This window comes from Homo sapiens, chromosome 4 (genome assembly GCF_000001405.40).
Source record: "Homo sapiens chromosome 4, GRCh38.p14 Primary Assembly".
Lineage (NCBI taxonomy): Eukaryota > Metazoa > Chordata > Mammalia > Primates > Hominidae > Homo > Homo sapiens.
The window spans coordinates 156,499,708-156,517,594 of record NC_000004.12 but is presented as its reverse complement, the minus strand read 5'-3'; the positions used below and the strand labels follow the sequence as shown (position 1 = coordinate 156,517,594).

The window sequence follows — 17,887 nt, the reverse complement described above, 5'->3', positions numbered from 1 at the left end:
ATGGGAGTTCAACAGACTTCCAAAGATTGAAAGAGAATCTCTCAATATATGCCCTGAGAATTCATTTCTAAAGAAAGGATGGGAAGAAAGAATTCATTTCTAAAGAAAAGAGGGACCCTTCTGCTGTCATTCTTGTTATTGTTAAATTCTTGCAGTGGCACAAACACTCAAAATCTTTTAAGTTTCATAACAATTATTTGTAAATAATAATATATTCGATAGAGTGTTGGGTGACTAAATAAAAATTTCAATTTGTTAAGTATAGTATAAATATTCTTATGATTGATATGTACAACCTCAAGTGATCATCATAATATTCTAGTGAAGACAAGTAAGTGATTTGCCCCAGAAAAAAGAATTAGGCAGTGGCAGAAATGGAGCTCTTTCATGGTCATCTGACCAGGAGTCAGGAGATGTCATCTCCTCACTTTAGAGTCTTCCAGAAGAATCTTCACTTCAAAGTAATGATTGCTTCCAAGGCACTGTTGGTCCTTGTATTTTATCATCTACAGTGATACACCCAACATATAGGCATTCATTGTCATATAAGGTGATTCATTTCATTGCAGGGAACCTCTAGTTTTAGAATAATTTTTAAAGTTTAGCTGAGAATACCTTCTTGAAGGAGTCACACTTTTGAGTACAATTTTGCTTATCTAACAAATACTTTCCTAAATTAAATAAATTCCTAAGTAAACACTGCGCTGCACTTTCACCTAATCTCAGTGTGAGCAATCCTTCATAGTTCTCACCATCTTTGCTTTAGACTTGACTTTGCAACCAAGATTTGAATCACTTAATGTCTCTCAACTAGAGTTTCATCTTCTGAGAATTGAGACAGTTGGATTAGATCAATGTTTTTAAATTCAAACTGTACTGCAAAGTAATTATTAATGGTAATAAGTGGGAGAAAGTATGAGGAGATAGTGGAGAAGAAAGGGAACAAAAATCTGGGTGTTGTTGGTAATATTTTAAATTGGCTAGCCTGAGGCCATAGGGAAGATCACCTCTAGTTTTGAAACTTTGAGATTTTTGTACACTCCACCTTGAGCTTGTTTACAATTGTTTTGGTGAATTGTGTGGTATTGATATATTTGTATTGAAAATAAACCTCATTATTTCAATGATAAAAATTATACCTATGAAGTACTCGAAAAGTTAAAAATTAAAAAACAAACAACAACGACAGAAAAAATTAAAGATGACTTTCTTTAGCCTTAGAAGGGTTTATGCTAAAGGTTAGAAAATTGTTTAACATTTGATAATTCCTGCTGGAGAGATGTCCTCAAATTCATTGAGTTTTCTTTATTAAACAATTTTTTTCTTTTATATAATTCACATCTCAGGCCGGATGCAGTGGCTCACATCTGTAATCCCAGCATTTTGGGAGGCCGAGGTGGGTGGATAGCTTGAGCTCAGGAGTTCAAGTCAAGCCTGGACAACATGGCAAAACCCCATCTCTACTAAAAATACAGAAAATAGCCCGGTGAGGTGGTGCATGCATAATCCTAGCTACTTGGGTGGCTGAGGCAGGAGAATTGTTTTAACACCAGGAGGTGGAGGCTACAGTGAGCTGAGATTGTGCCACTGCACTCCAGCGTGGGTGACAGAATGAGACCCTGTCTCAAAAAAACCCCCAAACTAAAATAAAATAAAATTCTTATCTTAGAGGGGCTTTCTTAAGGAAATGAGTGTGGCAAAGTTTCTTATAAATGCTTATTCCTTGTTATTCATTGTAGACTTCAGACAAAAGGAAATATTTAGCTCAACTATCCACTCTCAAACTTTTCCTAAGTAGGACTGATCATAGTCTTTTTTGTGTGCCCAGTATATTCAGTACCCGCTTCTTTTATATTACATGTATGTTTGTATTGAGATATTTTTTGTCTTTTCCAATAGACAACTTCTAAGAACAACGACCTGTTGTTTTGTGTATCTTCATTCCTGCCTTACTAGCAATACTACCTACATGTTTCTCTTCCCTCAAACCATAGAAAGAAGATGTCTTGAAAGACTGGCAACACATTTTTTGATATACTGTATAGATTTTGATTATGTCATTAGGGAATGACATAATCAAATGTAAAAAGGGAAGTGCATCAGAGACTCTAAAAGCTGTAGGATATGACTCATCAAAGGAAATTTAAAATGAATAATCCCGTCATATGAAGAAAACAAAACAGCAAAACTTTTAAACCCTAAAGCTTAAAGGACAGATAAAATGAACAGAGCAATCTCAATGGTGCTTGAATGGGGGGATGTGGAATGGAATAAAATGAATTGAATTGCGGAAAATGTCTAATTAGACTAATTGTAGTCAATATTTATTTTCAGTTTTGTAATTATTTATTTATGCTGTCCTGCTTCTGAACTCCCTGACTATGTCTGGGGAATACCTCCCTGCATTCACGTTGGTGGAACAGGTCTGGTCTCTGTATACACAAGCAGAAAATCCCAGATATCGAGTCCTCCCCTCTTGCAGCCAGGTTTTGGGCATTTGACCTATTCTTGGCTCATTACCTATTCCCACCTAGACATTTGCATCTAGAGGAAATGAACCAAGAGACAGTGCAGAGGCAATAGCATCACCTTTCAGTTTCCAAAGGCAGGAGTGGAATAAAGGAAGCAAATGCACCCATGTCATATGGCAACAGTGGCATGTATGCCAACTGTGGTGTCTGGGATGCAGTGGACACAGCAATCTGTCTGGGTGAGCAAAGTCCTCACGCTGATATTCACATGGGCATGTTTTGGCTATAAGAATTTCCACTTATTTTTTGAAGTTTTTTTTTACAGTCTTCCTAGTAACTTAATAAGCTACCCAATTTCCTTTCAAAATATATATTTTTTTCAATTACAGTCTGTTTTTCTTGAATGCAAGTAAGAACCCTAAGTGTCATTATCAAAGAAATTCTAGGTAAATCTAGATATGATTTTCTTGCTCTTAAAATAGCAGCATTCATGTATGTTAATATATACTTTATGTATGTGTGTATGAATGCTATACACAGACATGCACATATATATATTCAGTTATATGTGTACATATATATGTGTGTGTGTGTATATATATATACTAGTACTAATAAGATTGTGTCAAGCCTCCTCTATGAACAATCTGTGTTTGGCATTGCAAATTGATGTGTAAATAAAAAATGGTAGATTTCTAACAATTATGACTCTCCAAAATATTTTTTCTCAATTAAAATAATTTAAATTTCTCCATTTAAAGACATAATATTTCAAGACAAATAAAATTCAAGTGCAGAATCATAAGCTAGAATGTAATGTCTTATTTATTAGTGAAGATTTCATTGGCTGTACCCTGGGACACTGGTAGGACTGGAGATATAAAGATAAATAACAAGTGGCTCCTGGCAGAATAAGATTTTTATTTACTATAATATTGAAAAGCAATAGGTAATATGTATTGGGTCATTATAATATTCATATTCTTGATCCAGTAATTCCATTATTGGGAATTTGTTCTATAGAAATAACAGGAAACATTATGTGAAAATATTCATCGTAGCACTACGCATGATTGTAGAAAGATTAAAAGAAAATTCAGTGTTTAATTATAGGCAGTCTAATCATTAGTACTACTAAAAACATATATGTTCTTCTTCCTTTCCAGGCTTGTGGTAAAATTGCATTTCCTTGCTCCTTTGAAGTTAGGTGGCCAAGCAAATGTGGGTGACAGTTCTGTGCTTCACTTGCAGGCAGAGCTTCGAAGCTGTGTGTCAGTCTCCTCTCCGCTCAACCTTTCTCAGCCTGGATCTCCAAATGACAAGCTCTGAAACAGAGGCCCCAAAAACCCATAATCGGCATTCAGAGTGAGTGAGAAGCGAACCTTTCTGGTTATAAACTGCTAACATCATGGAGTTAACTGATAGCACAGAATAGTCTATTTTAAGTGAATACATAGATTCAATAATGGCTTTTAATGATATAAGTAAAAAAAGCAAAACTTCAGCAAATTATATGTACTTATGAACAAAGATGTAATAATTGGATAAAATGAAAGTTTGGATACAGCAGATGGGAATACGAATTACATATTTATCTCTTAAACTTTTACAGTAAGTTTGTAAGCTATCCCCTGTCCTTTCAAGATGTTTCAAATATAAATTTAAAGTTATTTAAATTGGTCAAATAATATTACAGTTGCATAATTAATTAAATATAAAATTTTACATATCTTTTAAAAACGCATATCATAATTTTAATTCACACCTTGTTATCTTCCTTACCCCAATCTAGTCAGATATCCACTACATTTTCAAAAAAACAAGTTTAGTTTGTGATTCAAATTGGTACTTCAGAAGGATTTCACTCAGAAGACAAAAAAGGATGCAGATTTTATTCATAGCAGCAAAATTTACGGAATTCTTAATTTAGACATGCGTGTTTAGCATCAATCAATGGCTTCACAGAGAGGCCTTATATAATACGGATCATTGCCATGCATTTGTTATTCTATTAAAAAACACAGGATATTGGAATTTGAATAATTAAGTTGTATGTCTAATATCAACTTCTGAAAAATGAAGGCAGGTCCTCTCTGCTGATGAACAAACTAAAATTCTGTATTTTCTTGTTTTGAGCATGAATAAGAGTTAGTATAATAATATGTGAGTTATTGAGAATTAACAATTTTTAATGTGTAAACCAAAGTTAATTTGTTTGTAGAGTTTACCAAAAACTCAACTCAGTGTACTGTACTTGGAAGTCCTGCTGACATATGATACTTGGCAGTGTTACAGAGTGGCTCTCATGCTTGTGCGGACACAGGCAGTCAGCACTTTTGTTTTGCACAGAACAAACTTCACATGGTACATCCTAAAACCTGCTTCATGTAGGTCGTTGCTTTCATTTTATTTTTCCTTCCAGTATAAATCACTATTAGTTTAGTTTTATCATTATCAGTCTAGATTTTTGTGAACTTTTTGTTTAACTCATACTTTGATGCTTATTTGTAATAATAGAAATTTTAGACTTTCAGACTCTGGCACATAAATGCACAAATGAATGATTCCACCTTCAAATTTTCTTGAACAATGGCACTAGATTGTCACTGACATTTTTAAACTAAAATAGGCAGAAAAGTGGAGATGAGGGCAAAGGTAAAATAAAAAGTTTAATGTTTGATAATGAAGCTATTTTACACTTTGGAACTCTTTATTATACTTATTTAATCATCATTTGAGTTCTTGATATATAGTAAAAGAGAAACTTAGACCTTGTGATTAGCTGATATTTGGCGATATATTAAAAATAAAACAACAAAGCAATTATTCCTTGTTAGATTCCAGTCTGACACAAATCAAGCAGCTGATTAGCACAATTTTCCATTTGGCCACACTCTAGGTAGTCCTGTGAATGGCTGTGCACAAGAAAGATAGCATTTGCTCTTCTTACCTCTCCCAGGTGCACCTCTACAGAGTTCTGGGACTCTCCAATTGGAGTCAGATTTCTGTCACCTCTATTCATCATACAAGTCCAAATGCAATAAGTGCCTACCCCCTAGACATATTTCTTTTTTCTTTCTTTGTTTTTTCCTTTTATTTTCTTTTTGTTCTTTTTTTTTTAAATTTAACTTTAAATTCCAGGATACGTGTGCAGAACATGCAGGTTTGTTACATAGTTATATGTGTACCATGGTGGTTTGCTGTACCTATTGAGCCGTTCTCTAAGTTCCCTCCCCTTGCCCGCCACACCCCAAACAGGTCTTGGTGTGTGTTGTTCCCCTGCCTGTGTCCATGTGTTCTTATAGTTCAACTCCCATTTATGAGTGAGAACATGTGGTATTTGGTTTTCTGTTCCTGTGTTAAGTTTGCTGAGGAGGACGGCTTCCAGCTTCATCCATATCCCTGCAAAGGACATGATCTCATTCCTTTTTATGGCTGCATAGTACTCCATGGTCTATATATACTACATTTTCTTTATCCGGTCTGTCATTGATGGGCAGTTGGGTTGGTTCTATGACTTTGCTATTGTAAATGGTGCTGCAATAAACATACGTGTGCATGTGTCTTTATATTATTATGATTTACATGCCTTTGGGTATATACCCAGTAATGGAATTTCTGGGTCAAATGGTATTTCTGGTTTTAGATCCTTGAGGAATCACCATATTGCTTCCACTATGGTTGAGCTAATTTGTATTCCCACTAACAGTGTAAAAGTGTTCCTATTTCTCTGCCAGCATCTATTGTTTCTTCACTTTTTAATAATTGCCATTCTGACTGGCATGAGATGGTATCTCATTGTGGTTTTGATTTGTATTTATCAAATGATCAGTGATGTTGAGTGTTTTTCATATGTTTCTTGGCTGCGGAAATGTCTTCTTTTGAGAAGTGTCTCTTCCTATCCTTCGCCTGCTTTTTAACGGGCTTGGCTTTTTTTCTTATAAATTTGTTTAAGTTCCTTGTGAATTCTGGATATTAGACTTTGTCCAATGGATAGATTGAAAAAATTTTCTCCTGTAGGCTGCCTGTTCACTCTGATGATAGCTTATTTTGCTATGCAGAAGCTCTTTGGTTTAATTAGATCCCATTTGTCAATTTTTGCTTTTGTTGCAATTGCTTTTGGTGTTTTCCTCATGAAGTCTTTGCCCATGCCTATGTCTTGAATGTAATTGCCTAGGTTTTCTTCTGGGGTTTTATGGTTTTGGGTTTTACATTTAAGTCTTTAATCCACCTCGAGTTAATTTTTGTATAAGGTGTAAGGAAGGGGTCAAGTTTCAGTTTTCTCCATATGGCTAGCCAGTTTTCCCAGCACCATTTATGGAATAGGAGTCCTTTCTCCATTGCTTGTTTTTGTCAGGTTTGTCAAAGATCAGATGGTTGTAGATGTGTGGTGTTATTTCTGAGGTCCCTGTTCTGTTCCATTGATCTGTATGTCTGTTCTGGTAACAGTACCATGCTGTTTGGGTTATTGTATGCTTGTAGCATAGGTTGAAGTCAGGTAGCATGATGCCTCCAGCTTTGTTCCTTTTGCTTAGGATTTTCTTGGTTATACAGGGTCTTTGATTCCATTTGAAATTTAAGGTAGTTTTTTCTAATTCCATGAAGAATGTCAATAGTAGTTTGATGGGAATAGCATTGAATCTATAAATTACTTTGAGCAGTATGGCCATTTTCACGATGTTGATTCTTCCTATCCATAAGGATGGAATGTTTTTCCATTTGTTTGTGTCCTCTCTTATTTTCTTGAGCAATGATTTGTAGTTCTCCTTGAAGAGGTACTTCATATCCCTTGTTAGCTGTATTCCTAGGTATTTTATTCTCTTTGTAGCAATTGTGAATGGGAGTTCATTCATGATTTAGCTCTCTGCTTGTCTATTATTGGTGTTAAGAAATGCTTGTGACTTTTGCACATTGATTTTGTATCCTGAGACTTTGCTGAAGTTGCTTATCAGTTTAAGGAGTTTTGGGGCTAGAATGATGGGGTTTTCTAAATATAAAATTATGTCATCTGCAAGCAGAGATAATTTGACTTCCTCTTTTCCTATCTGAACACCCTTTCTTTCTTTCTCTTCCCTGATTGCCCTGGCCAGAACTTCCAATACTATGTTGAATAGGAGTGGTGAGAGACAGCATCCTTGTCTTATACCGGTTTTCAAAGGGAATGCTTCCAGCTTTTGCCCATTCAGTCTGATATTGGCTGTGAGTTTGTCATAAATGGCCCTTACTATTTTGAGGTATGTTCCATCAATATCTAGTTTATTGAGAGTGTTTGTTTGTTTGTTTTTTGAAACAGAGTATTGCTCTTGTTGCACAGGTTGGAGTGCAATGGCAGGATCTCAGCTCACTGCAACCTCCACCTCCCAGGTTCAAGCGATTCTCCAGCCTCAGCCTCCCGAGTAGCTGGGATTACAGGCATGTGCCACCACACGGGACTAATTTTCGTATTTTTAGTAGAGACAGGGTTTTGCCTTGTTGGCCAGGCTGGTCTTGAACTCCTGACCTCAGGGGGTCCACACGCCTTTGCCTCACAAAGTGCTGGGATTACAGGCCTGAGCCACCGCACCTGGCCTGAGAGTTTTTAACATGAAGGGATGTTGAATTTTATCAAAGGCCTTTTCTGCATCTACTGAGATATTCATATGGTTTTTATCTTTGGTTCTGTTTACGTGATGGATTACATTTATTGATCTGCATATGTTGAAACAGCCTTGTATCCCAGGGTTGAAGCCAACTTGATTGTGGTGGCTTCAGTTTTTTGATGTACTGCTGGATTCAGTTTGCCAGTATATTATTGAGGATTGTTGCACTGATACTCATCAGGGATATTGGCCTGAAGTTTTCTTTCTTTTGTTGTGTTTCTTCCCAGTTTTGGTATCAGGATGATGCTGCCTTCATTAAATGAGTTAGGGAGGAGACCCTTCTTTCAATTGTTTGGAATAGTTTCAGAAGGAATGGTACCAGCCCCTCTTTGAACCTCTGGTAGAATTTGCCTGTGAATCAATCTGGTCCTGGTTTTTTTGTTGTTGTTTGGTAGGCTATTAATTACTGCCTCAATTTCAGAACTTGTTATTGCTCTATTCAGGGATTTGACTTTTTCCTGGTTTAGTCTTGGGAGGGTGTATGTGTCCAGGAATTTATCCATCTCTTCTAGATTTTCTAGTTGATTTGCATAGAGGTGTTTATAGTATTCTCTGATGGTAGTTTGTATTGCTGTGTGGACAGTGGTGATATCCCCTTTATTGTTTTTATTATGTCTGTTTCATTCTTCTCTCTTATTTATTAATATAGCTAGTGTTCCATCTATTTTGTTAATTTTTTCAAAAAAACAGCTCCTGGATTCATTGAATTTTTGGAAGGTGCTCATGTCTCTATCTCCTTTAATTCTGCTCTGATCGTATTTATTTCTTGTCTTCTGCTAGCTTTTGGATTTGTTTGCTCCTATTTCTCTAGCTCTTTTAATTGTGATGTTAGGGTGTCAATTTGAGATCTTTCTAGCTTTCTGATGTGGGCATTTTAGTGCTATAAGTTTCCCTCTTAACACTGCTTTAGCTGTGTCCCAGAGATTCTGGTACATTGTCTCTTTGTTCTCATTGGTTTCAAAGAACTTCTTGATTTTTGCCTTAATTTCATTATTTACCCAGGAGTCATTCAGGAGCAGTTTGATCAATTTCCATGTAATCATGTGGTTTTGAGTGAGTTGCTTAATCCTGAGATCTAATTTGATTGCACTGTGGTCTGAAAGACTTCGTTATTATTTCAGTTCTTTTGCATTTGCTGAGTAGTGTTTTACTTTCAATTATGTGGTCGATTTTAGAATAAGTGCCATATGGCACTTAGAAGAATGTATATTCTGTTGATTTGGGGTGGAGAGTTCTGTAGATGTCTATCAGGTCCACTTGATCCAGAGCTCATTCAAGTCCTGAATATCCTTGTTAATTTTCTGTCTCATTGATCTAATATTGACAGTGGGGTGTTAAAGTCTCCCACTATTATTGTGTGGGAGTCTAAGTCTCTTTGTAGGTCTCTAAGAACTTCTTTTATAAATCTGGGTGCTTCTGCATTGGGTGCATATATATTTAGAATAGTTAGCTCTTCTTGTTGAATTGTTCCCTTTACCATTATGTAATGCCCTTCTATGACTTTTTTTATCTTTGTTGGTTTAAAGAAGTCTATTTTGCCAGAGATGATGATTGCAACCCCTGCATTTTTTTTTTTTTTTGCTTTCCATTTGCATGGTAAATTTTCCTCCGTTTCTTTATTTTGAGCCTATGTGTGTCTTTGCACGTGAGATGGGCCTCCTGAATACAGCACAAGTATGGTTCTTGATTCTTTATCCAATTTGCCAGTCTGTGCCTTTTATTTGGGGCATTTAGCTCATTTACATTTAAGGTTAGTATTGTTATGTGTGAATTTGATCCTGTCATCATGATGCTATCTGGTTATTTTGCACACTAGTTGATGCAGTTTCTTCATAGTATCATTGATCTTTATATTTTGGTGTGTTTTTGCAGTGCCTGGTACCAGATTTTTCTTTCCCTATTTAGTGCTTCTTTCAGGAGCTTTTGCAAGGCAGCCCTGGTGGTAACAAAATCCCTCAGCATTTGCTTGTCTGGAAAGGATTTTATTTCCCCTTCGCTTATGAAGCTTAGTTTGGCTGGATATCAAATTCTGGGTTGAAAATGCTTTCCTTTAAGAATGTTGAATATTGGCCCCCAATCTCTTCTGACTTGTAGTTTCTTCGGAGAGGGCCACTGTTAGTCTAATGGGCTTCCCTTCGTAGGTGACCTGGCTTTTCTCTCTGGCTGCCTTTAACACTTTTTCCTGCATCTGATAATTATGTATCTTGGGATTGATCTTCTCATGGAGCATCTTAGTGGTGCTCTCTATATTTCCTGAATTTGCATGTTGGCCTGTCTTGCTAGGTTGGGGAAGTTCTCCTGGATAATATCCTGAAGTGTGTTTTCCAGCTTGTTTCCATTCTCCCCATCTCCTTCAGGTACTCCAATCAATCATAGGTTTGGTCTTTTTACGAGGTCCCATATTTCTTGGAGGCTTCGTTCATTCCTTTTCATCATTTTCTATCTAATCTTTTCAGCATGCCTGATTTCAGTAAGGTGGTCTTCAAACTCTGATATCCTTTCTTCCACTTGGCCAATTCGGCTATTTATTATTGTGTATACCTCACAAAGTTCTTGTGCTGTGTTTTCCAGCTCTGTTGGGTCATTATGTTCCTCTCTAAACTGGTGATTCTAGTTAGCAGCTCCTGTAACTTTTTGTTAAGGTTCTTAGCTTGTTTGTATTGGGTTAGCTAGCTAGTGTACTTTTTTATTACCCATCTGCTGAAGCCTACTTCTGTCAATTCATCCATCTCATCCTCTGACCAGTGTTGTGCCCTTGCTGGAAAGATGTTGCGATTATCTGCAAGAGAAGAGGCACTCTGGCCTTTTGGGTTTTCAGCACTTTTTTTTTGTTGTTGATTCTGTGCCATCTTCATGAGTTTGTCTAGTTTCAATCTTTGAGGCTGCTCACCCTTGAATGGGGTTTTTGTGGGGACTTTTTTGTTGTTGTTGATGCTGTTGTTGTTACTTTCTGTTTGTTTGTTTTTCTTTCAATGGTCAGGTCCCTCTTCTGTAGGGCTGCTGTGGTTTGTTGGGGGTTCACTTCAGGCCCAATTCATCTGGTTTGCTACTGTGCCTGGAGATGTCATTCAAGGAGGCAGGAGAACAGCAAAGATGGATATCTGCTCCTTCTGGGATCTCTGACCTCAAGGGGCTCCAATCTGAAGCCAGTAGGATTGCTCCTGTACAGGGTGTCTGACAACCCGTTGGAGGATCTCACCCAGTTGGGTGGCACAGGGATCAGGACCCATTTAAGAATACACTTTGATTGTCCCTGGTAGAGGGGGTATGCTTCCCTCAGGGAAAACCCACTTGTCTGGGCTGCCTGGATTCCTAAGAACTACCAGGAGGAAAGGCTAAGTCTACTGGTCTGCAGATACTGTGACCACCCCTCTCCCTAGGGGCTCAGACCCAGGGAGATCTGGGTTCTGTCCCCGAGCCTCTGGCTGGAGTTATTGGAGTTCCTGCAGGGAATCCCCACTCAGTGAGGAAGGAAGAGTCAGGGTCAGGCCTGATGTGGCACTCTGGCCACAGTCTGCCACAGCCAGTGTGGTGGGCTGTGGGGCACATCTCTTGGGACCAAGCTGTCTAGTCTTCCTGGCTCCAGCCAGGGAGAAAAAAGTGACCAGGAGCTGTGGAGATGGAGACCACCCTTCCCCCGCCCAGGGAGCTTAGCATGTTAGGCGGCTGTGAGTCCCAGTGCTGGCTGCTGCCCCTCCCCCAAGGAGCTCAAACTGCTTACAGAGCACGCAGTTACAGCTGTGGTGCTGGTTGCCCCTCCCTGCAGGAGCTTGGTAGGCTTAAGCAGATTCCAGCTGAGAGGCTGTTGAGAATCTGTGTGGCTCTGGTGTTGGGATGCCAGGCCCTGGTGGCATGAGTTCGCAAGTGGGATCTTCTAATCCATGGGTTGCACAGTTCCGTTAAAAAAGCACTGTTTCCCCATCTGGGACCTCCCTTGGCTGGGGGGGGGTGGGGGCTTTCCTGCCCCGTGTGGCTCTCGGGTGGGCCGCCACACCACACTGCTCTTCCTTCCTCTCCGTGCATCATATCAGCCTCCTAGTCAGATCTGATAAGACAACCTGATGCCTATGTTGCGGGTGAATGAGTCACATGCTTATTATGGTTCTTTTCAATGGGCGCCTTCAAACTCCGCTGTTTCTAGTCAGCCCTCTTGCCCCACCCCCCACCCCAGACATATTTCTTAAGGAAATAAACACCAGGATGTCAGATACTTACTTTCATCACGTTATTAAGGTGTTTTTATGTCCTAACACAAAAGCAAGAGTTAAATGCCATATGAACTTTGTCTTTGATTTATGCTTTTCTTAGCAAATACTGAAACTAAGCAAAAAAAAAATTAGCACATTTGCATTTGTTTTGTACTTGGAAACTGAACATTTATATCAACATGCATATACTTTATAACCTTATTGCAGTGTTTTAGAAATGCTCACATGAATATGAGTAACTATAGCCTTGTAGTACAGTTTGCAATCAGGTAATGTGATGCCTCCAGATGTGTTCTTTTTACTTAGTCTTGCTTTGGCTATGCAGGCTCTTTTTTGGTTCTATATGAATTTTCGTATTGTTTTTTCTAGTTCTGTGAAGAATGATGATGGGATTTTGATGGGAATTGCATTGAATTTGTAGATTGCTTTGGCAGTATGGTCACTTTCACAATATTTATTCTACCCATCCATAAGCATGGGATGTGTTTCCATTTGGTTGTGTTGTCTATGATTTCTTTTAGCAGTGTTTTGTAGTTTTCCTTGTAGAGATCTTTCACCATCTGGGTTAGGTATATTCTTAAGTATTTTGTTTTATTCTTTTAGAGTTGTTATAAAAGGGATTGAGTTCTTGCTTTGATCCTCAGCTTAGTTGTTATTAGTGTATAGCAGTGCTACTGATTTGTGTACATTGGTTATGTATCCCGAAACTTCACTGAATTCCTTTATCAGATCGAGGAGGTTTTTGGATGAATCATTAGGGTTTTCTAGGTATAGGATTATACCATTGGTGAACAGCAATAGTTTGACTTCCTCTTTACTGACTTAAATGCCCTTTATTTTTTTCTCTTGTCTGATTGCTCTGGCTAGGACTCCACAACCATGTTGAATAGAAGTGAGGAAAGTGGGCATCCTTGTCTTGTTCCAGTTTTCAGGGAGAATGCTTTCAACTTTTCCTGACTCAGTATAATTTTGGCTCTCTTGCTGGTTGGCTTTCACATGGGCACTTGGAGATTCCCCCATCATGGAGGATCTCTGAAAATTTCTGGACACAAGTAAAAGCCTCTCCTTCACCTGGGCCTTGTGTTCCCTCTCATCCTGTGGGCTCAGTTGTGTACCTTTCTGGTGCAGTCTGCTTGCTCTCCAGGGCTCTGTGGCTCTCTGTGAGATTGCAGTCGACTTCCCAGCTCTGGCCCCTATTCCACTGGTTTTATCACTTTAATCAGCTGTTTTACCGTTTGGCTTCCTGAAAGTTTGGTAAGACAGCTCTCCACTATGTTCCCCAAATTCCAGAAGACACATGTTAAATTATCTGAGTGAAGCCACTGAAGTTCTCCCAGTGAATCCTCTGCCCTTCTCACTCCCAGTGGGACAGTGGGTAGGGGAGAGGACCTAAGAGCAATTCTCTGTGTAAATATCTTTTCTTCAATTTCCTGGCTGAATCCTCAGTCTTTGCTGTATAACTTGAAGACACATGTCAGACAAAGTTCACAAAACTGTTCTGACATCTCTATTTCAGTCCTCATACGTGGTCTAGCACCTCCTTTGTAATGTTGCAATGATTAGCACCTGTTTTCTTGGTTCTTCAGTTGAAAAATAAACAAAAAAACCCATTTAAATATTATAAGGCAAAACTAAAACTGACTATGGTCAAGGTATAGTCTAAGATTTATAGGACTAATGGCACCTTATTATTGTATATGCAATATGATATTAAAATAGACATGTAATATGATATCATTATGATATGATATTGAAATATGTTATTAATGAAAAATCCATTACAGGAAATTTATGAATGTCAATTTAGCCATTCTGTGATGGAGCAATTTTACTTGTTACTCTTCACAGAACATTAACTGAAAGAATGTCTATTGATCATCTCTCAGGTGACAAGCACTTTGCCAGTCACTGGCGACACTGAGGTGCATACACACAGGAAATTCCCCCTGCCACATGGTGCTGTTGACTGAGGAGACATGATAGTTAAATAATCACAGACTAATGTAAACTTGTAAATGTGACAGATTACAAAGAGTTGGCACACAGGGCTACAAATAGAATTTAGACTTAGTCAGGAAATCTGGCTCGAGGTAAGAACGGAAGGAAAAGTAAAAGTTACCTGAGGAAAAAAAAAGTGATGGGAAGATTTTCTAGGAAGAGAAATTAGTATGCACAACATCCTCATGAAGCGCAGAAGCCTAGAAAGTGTGAGATTCTGCAAGAAAACCAGTAGTAGCTGGGCTCAGGAAAATGACAAGAACATTGTATCAGTTGAGGTTGGAGAAGTAAATTTAGTTCATATATTACAGAGCTGTGTTGACTCTGTCAAGGAGATTTGTCTTTATGAGTCAAGATACATGTCAGACAAAGTTCACAAAACTGTTCTGACATCTTTATTTCAGTCCTCATAATTGGTCTAGACTGGAAACATTGAATGGACCATTTTGGTAGGTGGAATGGCCCCCTAGAAATGTCCATGTTCTAACCCCTGGCACCTATGTATATGCTATGTTAGATGGCAGAAGAGACTTTGCAGATATAGTTAAGGTTATGGGCCTTAAAATAGAGATATTATCTTGGATTATATCGGTACATTCAATCTAATCACAAGAGCTTTAAGTGCATAACTTTCCTTGACTGGAGGCAGACAGATACAGCAGAAGGGAAAGTCAGAGGTTCCACCAGGGAGTAGGGATTGACACTTGGTTCTGAGATGTAGGAGTCCACATGAAGGAATGTACTGAGACTTCAAGGAGCTAAAGGTGGCCCTTGGGGGAGAGTCAGCAAGGAAACAGAGACCTCAGTCCTTCAATCAGAGAAACTAACTTAGTTCAACAACCTGAGTGAGACTGGAAACAGGTTCTTCCCCAAAGCCATGTCTACACCTTGATTTTGATTGTGTGGACCTAGAATAGAGGAGCAAGCTGAACCTTCCTTTGGCCACACTTTTAACCCAGAGAAACTATGAATTAATAGAAGAGCATTGTTTGAAGCTTCCATCTTTGTGGTAATGTGTTTGGGAGCAACAGAAAAGGAATACAAACATGAATGATTCAAAATGGGTGGCATAATGAGTGGATGCAGAGAATCATAGTAGACCTGCTGGGAAGCTAACATTTTTAAAAGTATGGATGAGTCATGGTGGTGACTTGTCCTAGAGTGCTGGTGAGGTGATAACAAGTGAAATTATTTCCAAAATAATTGGAAATTAAATCTATAGAACATGGTAAGGAATTGATCATGAGTGGAGAGGAAGAGGGAGTTTCAAGGCTATACAAAAGGTATTAGCTTGTATAATAGAGTTGTTGGTGTTGCTATTCACTCAGGGAATACTAGAGGAATAGCAAGATTTTCGGGTGGGAGGAAGGGAGGAGGGAATCCTAGTCTAGTTTTGGATATGTAATGTTTGAGGTATCTTTAAGAGAAACAGTAGGAGACTTCATGTAGGCAGTTAACATATATTGATCTGGAATTCAGAAGAGAGGTATGTGATCTATATTTAAATTTGTGAGATCTCTTCTTGTCACTTAAGGGGAGAATATAGAATGATAAGAAGAAAGAGGTTCTTAACTTGAATATTGTGGGAGAATAAGATTCAAAACAGTTACACAGTAACTGGAGGGCTTGGAGGAAAATTAGGTTAGTATGGTTTCATGGAAGTTAAGGAAAGCAGATGCATCAAGAAAAAGGAAGTGAATGACACTGTCGAACATTGTTGAAATGGAGGATAATAACTTCTGAAATATTGATTAACATGCAGATCTTCTCAAGAACTGGTTTGGTATAGTAATGAGGATAAATACCAGACTAAACAGTTTGAAAATAGTGGAAAGTGAAAAAACAAAGACATAAACTGTCATGAAACCTAACTAAAATCAGAGGACAAAGGTCTTCTTTCATTGAGACAACATGTATTATCACTGCCTAGGTGCGCTATGTTTGGGTTAAGTAGAGTAAGACTATGTGCCCCTTTTCGTCATGCCCTCCTTTCTCATGTTTGAAAATCTGATCATTTTTCCCAGTCCCTAAATTTTCACATCTTCAGACTTAAAATTTCTAATGCCAATACCTACTTAGCTTTCTTTTCTTTGCTTTGCTTTTTTTTTTTTTTTTTTTTTTTTTTACAGAGTCTTACTCTTGTCGCCCAGGCTGGAGTGCAATCGTGCAATCTCAGTTCACTGCAACCTCCACCTCCTGGGTTCAAGCAATTCTCCTGCCTCAGCCTTCTGAGTAGCTGGGATTACAGATGCACACCACCATGCCTGGCTAATTTTTGTACTTTTAGTAGAAATGGGGTTTCACCATGTTTGCCAGGCTGGTCTTGAACTCCTGGCTTCGTGATCTGCTTGCCTCAGCCTCCCAAAGTGCTGGGATTACAGGCATGGGCCACAGTGACCAGCCTTAGCTTTCTTTTATTAATATGTTGGTTATTTACTCAATGGACTCTCTCCAGATTGTCCTTCAAATTGTAGACCCCTAACCAGGAGTCAGTACTCCATTTGCAGTATGCTAGTTGTAGAATACAGCAGGGTGCTCATTTCTTTTGTTCTGAATGTGCTGTGTGTAGGTCATACTTACAGTAACATTTTTGGCTATTGTTCTACACTGTTGACTCATTTTGACCTTATAATCGATTAAACCCCACAGACCTTTTACTTTTCTTCAGTTTTTTTAAAGTAAATATTGCTCTTATGTAGGGACATCATAATCTTTAATTTTTACTATTTTTTTTCCCTACCTTGGTGCATTTCTGTATGCTTACCTTTATTGTTTGTTTGTTTGTTTGTTAACTGTGGCCCACCACTAAGCTGAGCCAAGTATTTTTGGCTCCTCTGAAATATCGAATGCATGTGGCTACAGCATGGAGAGTGCACTTGTCTGTAGCATGCAGCTACATGTTATCAACATAATTGATATCTGTGTTGATGATACCTTATTAAGGAGTGATGAAAGTCTCAAACAGTCAGAACAAGGTGAGGGGTCTCTGGCATACCTGTAGATAATCCTCTTCACATTAAATCTTAAAGAAATTAGAACAAAAAAATACAAAACACAATATATTTACAATTATACTTCCTTGGACAAACATTATTGACACTTCGTATTATATCTTTCCAAATGCATTCACGTGCATGAAAATCATATGCCTCTGTCCTTATAAGGTAGAGTCAATACCTAAATTTTAAATTCTTGCTAGAGATTGTGTCTTTGAAGTCATTCAAAAACCATCTTCTACCAAGACTGGTTATAAAGGAAGGATATTTTAAAGGACATTTATTTTATTCATTTTATTCTTGATTATTTTGGCAACAGGTGGCTGCATATTTTAGGCTGATTTCTTAGTTCTTCTATTGAATTTATGCTAGTGAGTTGCATTCTTATTCATTGAAGTACATAAAGTATTTATATGCACACGCTGCTCTTGCGTTGTTAGTCAGAATTTTTTTGAATGGCTATCCACTACATTAATCATCAAAATTTTATAGAAATAAATGAAAGAAAATCTTTATTTCTCTCATGCATCTGATTCATATGTTAATAATGCAAAATGTGAATTTTTTAACTAATT

General features: G+C 38.0%; 2 annotated features.

The window, feature by feature from the left end:
• Positions 4,354-4,523: an enhancer, noted in NCBI's record as "experimental_75051 CRE fragment used in MPRA reporter constructs". NCBI's record gives its function as "activates a minimal promoter by MPRAs in K562 erythroleukemia cells, with activity observed for the introgressed 4:157434309 variant allele {active_cell/tissue: K562}" and the evidence as "EXISTENCE:reporter gene assay evidence [ECO:0000049][PMID:34662402]".
• Positions 11,679-12,385: an enhancer, noted in NCBI's record as "H3K27ac-H3K4me1 hESC enhancer chr4:157426362-157427068 (GRCh37/hg19 assembly coordinates)". NCBI's record gives its function as "activates a minimal SCP1, AML or CMV promoter by ChIP-STARR-seq in primed H9 embryonic stem cells {active_cell/tissue: H9 hESC(primed)}" and the evidence as "EXISTENCE:reporter gene assay evidence [ECO:0000049][PMID:30033119]".